Here is a 7,382-nt window from a genome sequence, read left to right as displayed (position 1 = left end):
ATCCTGGGGCCAGTGTAGGCCCCCGTTCCCAGCAACACAGTCCAAATCCTGCTCATCTGGGCCCTCGGCATCATCCTCTGACAGAGCGGAAAGTTGGGCCTCCCCCTACCCGGCTCCGGTGGCTCTCAGTTCAGGGCGGCGGTGCCCCCTGGAGGCCGTTCGGAAACATGCGGGGCGTCCCTGGGTTCCAATGACGGAATTGCAGTCCCGCCCCAAAGGCTGCCCCCACCCAGAGGCCCAGCGTTTCCCTGTTCAGAAGCACAGTTCCTACTTTTGCAGATGGAAAAACTGAGGCCCAGATGGTGCTTAGCACAGTGGCTGGCATGTAGTAGGTGCTCAATAAATATTTGTTGTTGAATGAATGGCTTTGTCCAAGAGTTTCATTCTTTACTTTAGCGCTCAAGAAGTCCAGAAGAAGTGAGGAAATAGGTCAAGGACCAAGCCCTTTTGTAAACTCAGGAGACAGCCTTATTGCTGCAGGTAAGTGTGGATAGGCAGCACGGAAGAGCCTCTCTCATGCTTGGGAAAGAGCTGTCAGCACCAGCTGAGGACAATAGCTAACTCCTGTGTAACTGTTTGCAACGCACTTCACGTGTTCAGCTTCATCCTCCCTGCAACCCTGAGAGGTTTATATTCTTTTCGTAGCTATGATAATGGAATCCAGAGTGTTTAAGGAGCATGGGTGAGATTCAAACTCAGGTCTAGTAAATGGTAAAGCACAATGTCTTCATGCCTCCATGAAGTTTGCCTAGAGAGAGGTCTGGAAGAAGCTGGAGCTTCCCATCTTGCAGAAAGGGGCTTGTGGTCAGAGGAGGGCTGAACAGATAGGCTGCCTGAGTGGGACCCTTCGGTCAGCACCATTTACCCTCCATCACACACACACAAGGAAGAAAGTGAGCATATCGCCTACCCAGAGGCTTCGAAATGCAGCTAAGATCAAAATGGGAAATGCTGGCCGGGCGCCATGGCTCACGCCTGTAAACCCAGCACTTTGGGAGGCCGAGGCAGGTGGATCACGAGGTCAGGAGTTCAAGACCAGCCTGGCCAACATGGTGAAACCCCGTCTCTACTAAGAATACAAAAAATTAGCTGGGCGTGGTGGCGGCACCTGTAATCCCAGCTATTCGGGAGGCTGAGGCAGAGAATTGCTTGAACCCAGGAGACGGAGGTTGCAGTGAGCCGAGATTGTGCCACTGCACTCCAGACTGGGTGACAGAGTGAGACTCCGTCTCAAAAAAAAAAAAAAAAAAAAAAAAGAAATGTCTAGAGGTAGGAGCCTGCCATCCTGCTTCTAGGAGCCTGCACCACAGACATTCTGGCACTGCACAGGAACAACGAAGTTCACTGTGGCATGGTTTGGAACAGCAAGAAATTGGAAAAAACCTAAGTGCCTCCAGTGAGGGCAGGTTACCTGAGCCGGGGTAGGTGCATGTGAATTCATGAAGCCCTTAAAACAGTGAAGTGGGCCAGGCGCAGTGGCTCATGTCTAATCCCAGCACTTTGGAAGGCAGAGGTGAGTGGATTGCTTGAGCCCAGGAGTTCAAGACCAGCCTGGCCAACTTAGGGAGACTCCCATCTCTATAAAAAATACAAAAATTAGCCAGACATGCTCACTTCAACCCAGGAGGCGAAGGTTGCAGTGAGCTGAAATTGTGCCACTGCACTCCAGCCTGGGCGAAATTGTCTGTCTCAAAAAAAAAAAAAAAAATTAGGTGTAGTGGTGCACATCGGTAGTTCCAGCTACCTAGGAGGCCAAGGTGGGAACCAGGGAGGATAAGGCTGCAGTGAGCCGTGATCATGCCACTGCACTCTAGCTTTCATGACAGAGTTAGACCGTCTCAAAGAAACAGAAAACAGTGAGGTGGAGCTGTAAGATACCAGTGTGGAAAGATGTCCGCGCCATATTAAATGAAAAACAAAAACAAAAATTCAGTCCTCTTTTAGTTTTAAAAATAATATTAACTGGAAATATGCCCACTTAGCAATGTTTTTTAATCTATGAGATGCATTCCATTAAGGAAGTGGATTGTAAAATTAGTGTCACAAATAGGTTGAACTGTATGAAATTGCCCATATTTGACAGTTTTGATACACAGATGTATTTCAAATGGTTCAACCTAGTAGCATTAACAAAAATGAAATAGAATGAACAGAACTGAAAACATTACTACCTTTACCCACGTAGTAAAGCTAAGTAGCGTTTGGTGAAACATTTGTTTTAGATATTTATACAGATATGTGTACTTCTCACTGTGAATCACAGTCACAAAAGTTTGAAAATCAGGGCAATGAAGTTTGGGAGAACATAAAATTATTACCTTGGGTGTGTCTATATTTTCTTTTTTTCTTTGAGACAGAGTCTGGCTCTGTCACCCAGGATGGAGTGCAGTGGCACAATCCTGGCTCACTGCAACCTCTGCCTCCCAGGTTCAAGCTATTCTCCTGCCTCAGCCTCCTGAGTAGCTGGGATTACAGGCATGAGCCACCATGCGCGGCTAATTTTTATATTTTCAGTAAAGACAGGGTTTCACCATGTTGGCCAGCTGGTCACAAACTCCTGGCCTCAAGAGATTTGCCTTCCTCAGCCTCCCAAAGGGCTGGGATTACAGGTGTGAGCCACCGCACCCAGCCTCGGATTGTTTTATTTCCTACCAGTAGCATTGAAAGAACTTGTTCAAATGTCTGGCTTAAAGTCTTGCCTGTCCATGCTGTTGTTCCCAGGGGCCACATGGTAGAATTTCAGTGAATATAAATTAAAAAAATAAAAATAAACAACATCCAAGCTCTGTGAAAAAGGGGGAGTTCAGGAAGTAACTATGTTTAGCTTTTTTTTTTTTTTTTTTGAGACAGAGTCTTGCTCTGTCGCCCAGGCTGGGGTGCAGTGGCGCAATCTCAGCTCACTGCAAGCTCCGCCTCCCGGGTTCACACCATTCTCCTGCCTCAGCCTCCCGAGTAGCTGGGACTAAAGATGCCCGCCACTATGCCTGGCTAAGTTTTTGTATTTTTAGTAGAGACGGGGTTTCACCGCGTTAGCCAGGATGGTCTCGATCTCCTGACCTCGTGATCCGCCAGCCTTGGACTCCCAAAGTGCTGGGATTACAGGCGTGAGCCACCGCGCCCGGCCAACTATGTTTAACTTTTTAAACATATTTTAGAGACAGGGTCTCACTCTGTCACCCAGGCTGGAGTGCAGTGGCACAATCATGGCTCACTGCAGCCTCAAGCAGTCCTCCCACGTCAGTCTCCTGAGTAGCTGGGACTACAGGTGCATGCCATCAAGCCCGGCTAATTTTTTAAATTTTTTGTAGAGACGAGGGTCTCGCTGTGTTACCCGGGCTGGTCTTGAACTCCTGTGCTTAGGTGATCCTCTCACCTCAGACTTCCAAAGTGCTGGGATTACAGGCATGAGCCACCCCACTTGGCCTGTGTTTAACTTTTGAAGAACTGACTGTAGCTAGAAATTGGGTGGAGAGGCATTTAAAGACAAGTAAGGGGCCTCATTACGAGCTGTGTTTTCATTTGCCTCATGGAAAGGAGGAGAGCTCTTTTTTTTTCTTTTTTTTTTTTTTGAGACGAAGTTTTGCTCTTGTTGCCCAGGTTGGAGTGCAATGGCAAAATCTCGGCTCACTGCAACCTCCATCTCCCAGGTTCAAGCGATTCTCCTGCCTCAGCCTCCCAAGTAACTGGGATTACAGGTGTGCACCACCACACCTGGCTAATTGTGTATTTTTAGTAGAGACGGGGTTTCACCATGTTTGTCAGGCTGGTCTCAAACTCCTGACCTCAAGTCATCCACCTCGGCCTCCCAAAGTGCTGAGATTACAGGCAAGAGCCAATGCACCTGGCTTTTTTTCTTTCTTTTTTTTTTACTTTCAAGCAGAGGAGCAGAAGAGCACTCTTAAATAAAATCTTTGGGAAATACCTTTGGAAGAAAACTAGGAAAGAAGATGTATAGAGCTGTAGTTATATATAATTGTGAATATGAATATATATATATATTTTTTTTTCACAAGAAAGAATCGTGAAATTAAAATACCCAAATCGTGACATCTGTGAAACCTGCTTTTGAAGGGGAAACTTCTTAGGGCCGAGTAAGTGGCTTGTAACTTGAGGATAGAGATCTACAGCCTTTTAACAAGGCATGTTTACCCAACGTCTAGAAAGAAAAATTTGGCATTATTATTATTTTTAAGACAGGGTCTCACATTATTATTATTATTATTATTATTATTATTATTATTTTTGAGACAGGTTCTCACTCTATCACCCAGGCTGAAGTGAAGTGGCACAATCACGGCTCACTGCAGCCTTGATTTCCCTGGGCTCAGGTGATCCTCCCATCTCAGCCATCTGAGTAGCTGGGACTAAAGTTCTGTGCCACCACACGCAGCTAATTTTTGTATTTTTTGTAGAGACTGGGTTTTGCCGTGTTGCCCAGACTGATCTCAAACTCTGGGCCCCAAGCAATCCTCCCATCTTGACCTCCCAAAGTACTGGGATTACAGGCATGACCCACTGTGCCGGGCCTGAAAATTTGGCATTATAGTTTTAATTTTAAAAAGTAAATCATTTTAATCAGCCATTATATTTCATGGATTACCTTTATAATAATAAGAAAAGTAACAGAATTCTATATTCTGGAACCAGAAGGAAAAAAGGCCAGGGGAGAAGACTCTGCTTAAATTAGAACTGCTGGCCATTAAGCATTAGCAAGGAGTATACCCAAGTATTTTATTTATTTATTTATTTATTTATTTATTTATTTATCTAAATATTTATTTTTAAGTTTGCTCTAGACACACAGTTTCTGTGTGTGTGTGTGTGTGTGTGTTTTTTTTTTTTTTTTTGAGACAGGGTCTCGTTCTGTCATCTAGGCTGAAGTGCAGTGGCATGATCACAGCTCACTGCAGCCTCGTCCTCCCAGGCTCACATGATCCTCCCACCTCACCATCCCAAGTAGCTGGGACCACAGGCACATGCCACCATGCCCAGCTATTTTTTTTTATTTTTAATTTTTTTTTTCTTAAATAATGATGAGGCTGGGCACGGTGGCTCACGCCTGTAATCCCAGTGCTTTGGGAGGCCGAGCTGGGTGGATCACTTGAGGCCAAGAGTTTGAGACCAGCCTGGCCAACATGGCAAAACCTCATCTCTACTAAAAATACAAAAAATTGGCCGGGTGTGGTCACGCACACCTGTAGTCCCAGCTACTTGGGAGGCTGAGGCACGAGAATCACTTGAACCCTGGGGGTGGTGGGCGGCAGCGGAGGTTGCAGTGAGCCGAGATTGCGCCACTGCACTCCAGCCTGTATGAGACAGAATGAGACTGTCTCAAAAGAAAATTAAGAAAAAGAAGGAGCAAGTTATGATTGTGTTCATGTGTGAGAAGCAGCACTTATATCTGGTGTAAATTGCTCCAGATTTCTTACACTTATAAAGGAGTCTCACGAAGAGATGGGAAATTGGGTTCTCTGGATTCTTAGTTTTCCTGTTTAACCCTTCACTGTCATTTGTTGCCCTCTGTGGACTTGCCTTATTTTTCTGCAGTGTTGCAGCAAGTGAAGTATTCTTCATGCAGCTGCTCATGAAACCTTCACCGGGAGGCGGCAGATATCTGTGTTAGAGGAGTCTCTTTCCCTTATAGATGATCTAAGTTAAATTACTACCAAGTCTAGAGTGCACCAGCTTCAGACATGAGGCCCAAACGATGTCATTGGGAGTCAGACTCTTCCTCTATCTGCTGTCCTCCGGGCTGGCTACATTCTCAGGCAGAACCCGCTCATGGGAGTAGGACGGCCACCAGAAACACCAGCTTAGTATCACCCCAGGGGGGCACATCCCCAGACCCTGTCACTTTCCCAGTAACTCCAACAAAACTCCCAGGCCTGTCCTTCCTTGGTCTGGCTTGGGTCATGTGCCTATTCCTGACATCAATCACTGTGACCAGGTGAGATTGGCAAGGCCAGGACCCCAGGCCCATGCTGGAGTGCAGGGTTTGGGTCACCTTGTTGCCCAGGCTAACCTCAAAATCCTAGGTTTAAGTGATCTCCCCACCTTGGCCTCCCAAAGCATTGGGATTACAGGCGTGAGCCACCATGTCTGGCCTATTTAATTCTTTTAACCTACATTGTTTATATTAGATTGTTTATAATAAAGTTACAGTTTTAATGAGAAGACAGAAAACCTGTTTTCCCTCTCTGATAAGACAATCTAGGATGCCAGTCTTATTTTTTGGACCACATGCCTGTGACAGAGGCACCAGCAAGCACGTGCTGGCAGCTTACCCAAGTGTAGGTTTTGTCCTACTAATTAATAAGCAAAGAACTGGAAGCACAGAGATGGCAACTGCATACAGACCATAGTTCTGCCCTCCCACTGCTAATCTTCCGGCAGGTTTTTTTTTTTTTTCTAGACAGTCTCACTCTGTCACCCAGGCTGGAGTGCAGTGGCGCAATCTTGGCTCACCGCAACCTCCACCTACCGGGTTCAAGCGATTCTCCTGCCTCAGCCTCCCGAGTAGCTGGGATTACAGGCATGCACCACCATGCCTGGCTAATTTTTGTATTTTTAGAAGAGATAGGGTTTCACCATGTTGGCCAGGCTGGTCTTGAACTCCTGGGTTCAAGTGATCCACCCAGCTCGGCCTCCCAAAGTGCTGGGATTACAGGCGTGAGCTGCTGTGCTCAGCCTATGTAGGTTTTACATATCCAAAGGCAGCCAGGTCCTCAGTGCTGGTCAGTGATGATTCAGTGGGTGTGTACATCCTGCATGCCACTGCTGCATGCCTCATAAGACAAGTCAGAGTGTTCAAGCATCTGCATTACAGGTCTTAGCCCAGCTGCCTGTGTGGGAGGCAGCAGAGGCATCCTCTCCAACTCCAGATGACAAAAGGAGGTGTTATTCACCACGCAAAGGCACATGACATCTGCAAGCTTTTCCAGAACCTTAGGAGGTAGAAAGGACTTGAAAATCTGAGATCTTCCAACAGCCATGTGCTCGTACACCTCACCTGTTGCCTGTGGCCCCTCAGGAGCAAAGCTGTGCTAGATGCTTCTTGCCTCCATGGGGCCAGGCCTGGTGAATGAACGCAGGAGCGCAGCTGCTGCCCCTGGTTGCCCGTGTCCTGCTGTGCCCTCACTCCGGAACCTAAGAGGCAGGTACCACTCTTCTCTCCGCATGACAGACCCCCCCACCCACTCACCTGGATCGCTGCAGCAGCCTCCTGACCGGCTTCCCTGCTCCCCTGCTCCAAGGCACAGGGACCCTTTTTTATTTAATTAATTAATTATTTATTTATTGAGACAGAGTCTTACTCTGTCACCCAGGCTGGAGTGCAGTGACGTGATCTTGGCTCACTGCAACCTCCGCCTCTTGGGTTCAAA

General features: G+C 47.0%; 1 annotated feature.

Moving 5' to 3' along the window:
- Window positions 6,183-7,382: an enhancer, noted in NCBI's record as "P300/CBP strongly-dependent group 1 enhancer chr11:64773912-64775111 (GRCh37/hg19 assembly coordinates)". NCBI's record gives its function as "activates an origin of replication core promoter dependent on BRD2, BRD4, P300/CBP, MED14 and CDK7 cofactors, with strong dependence on P300/CBP, by STARR-seq in HCT116 cells {active_cell/tissue: HCT116}" and the evidence as "EXISTENCE:reporter gene assay evidence [ECO:0000049][PMID:35650434]".

This window comes from Homo sapiens, chromosome 11, assembly GCF_000001405.40.
Source record: "Homo sapiens chromosome 11, GRCh38.p14 Primary Assembly".
Taxonomy (NCBI): Eukaryota; Metazoa; Chordata; class Mammalia; order Primates; family Hominidae; genus Homo; species Homo sapiens.
This window is presented reverse-complemented; position numbering and strand designations above follow the sequence as displayed.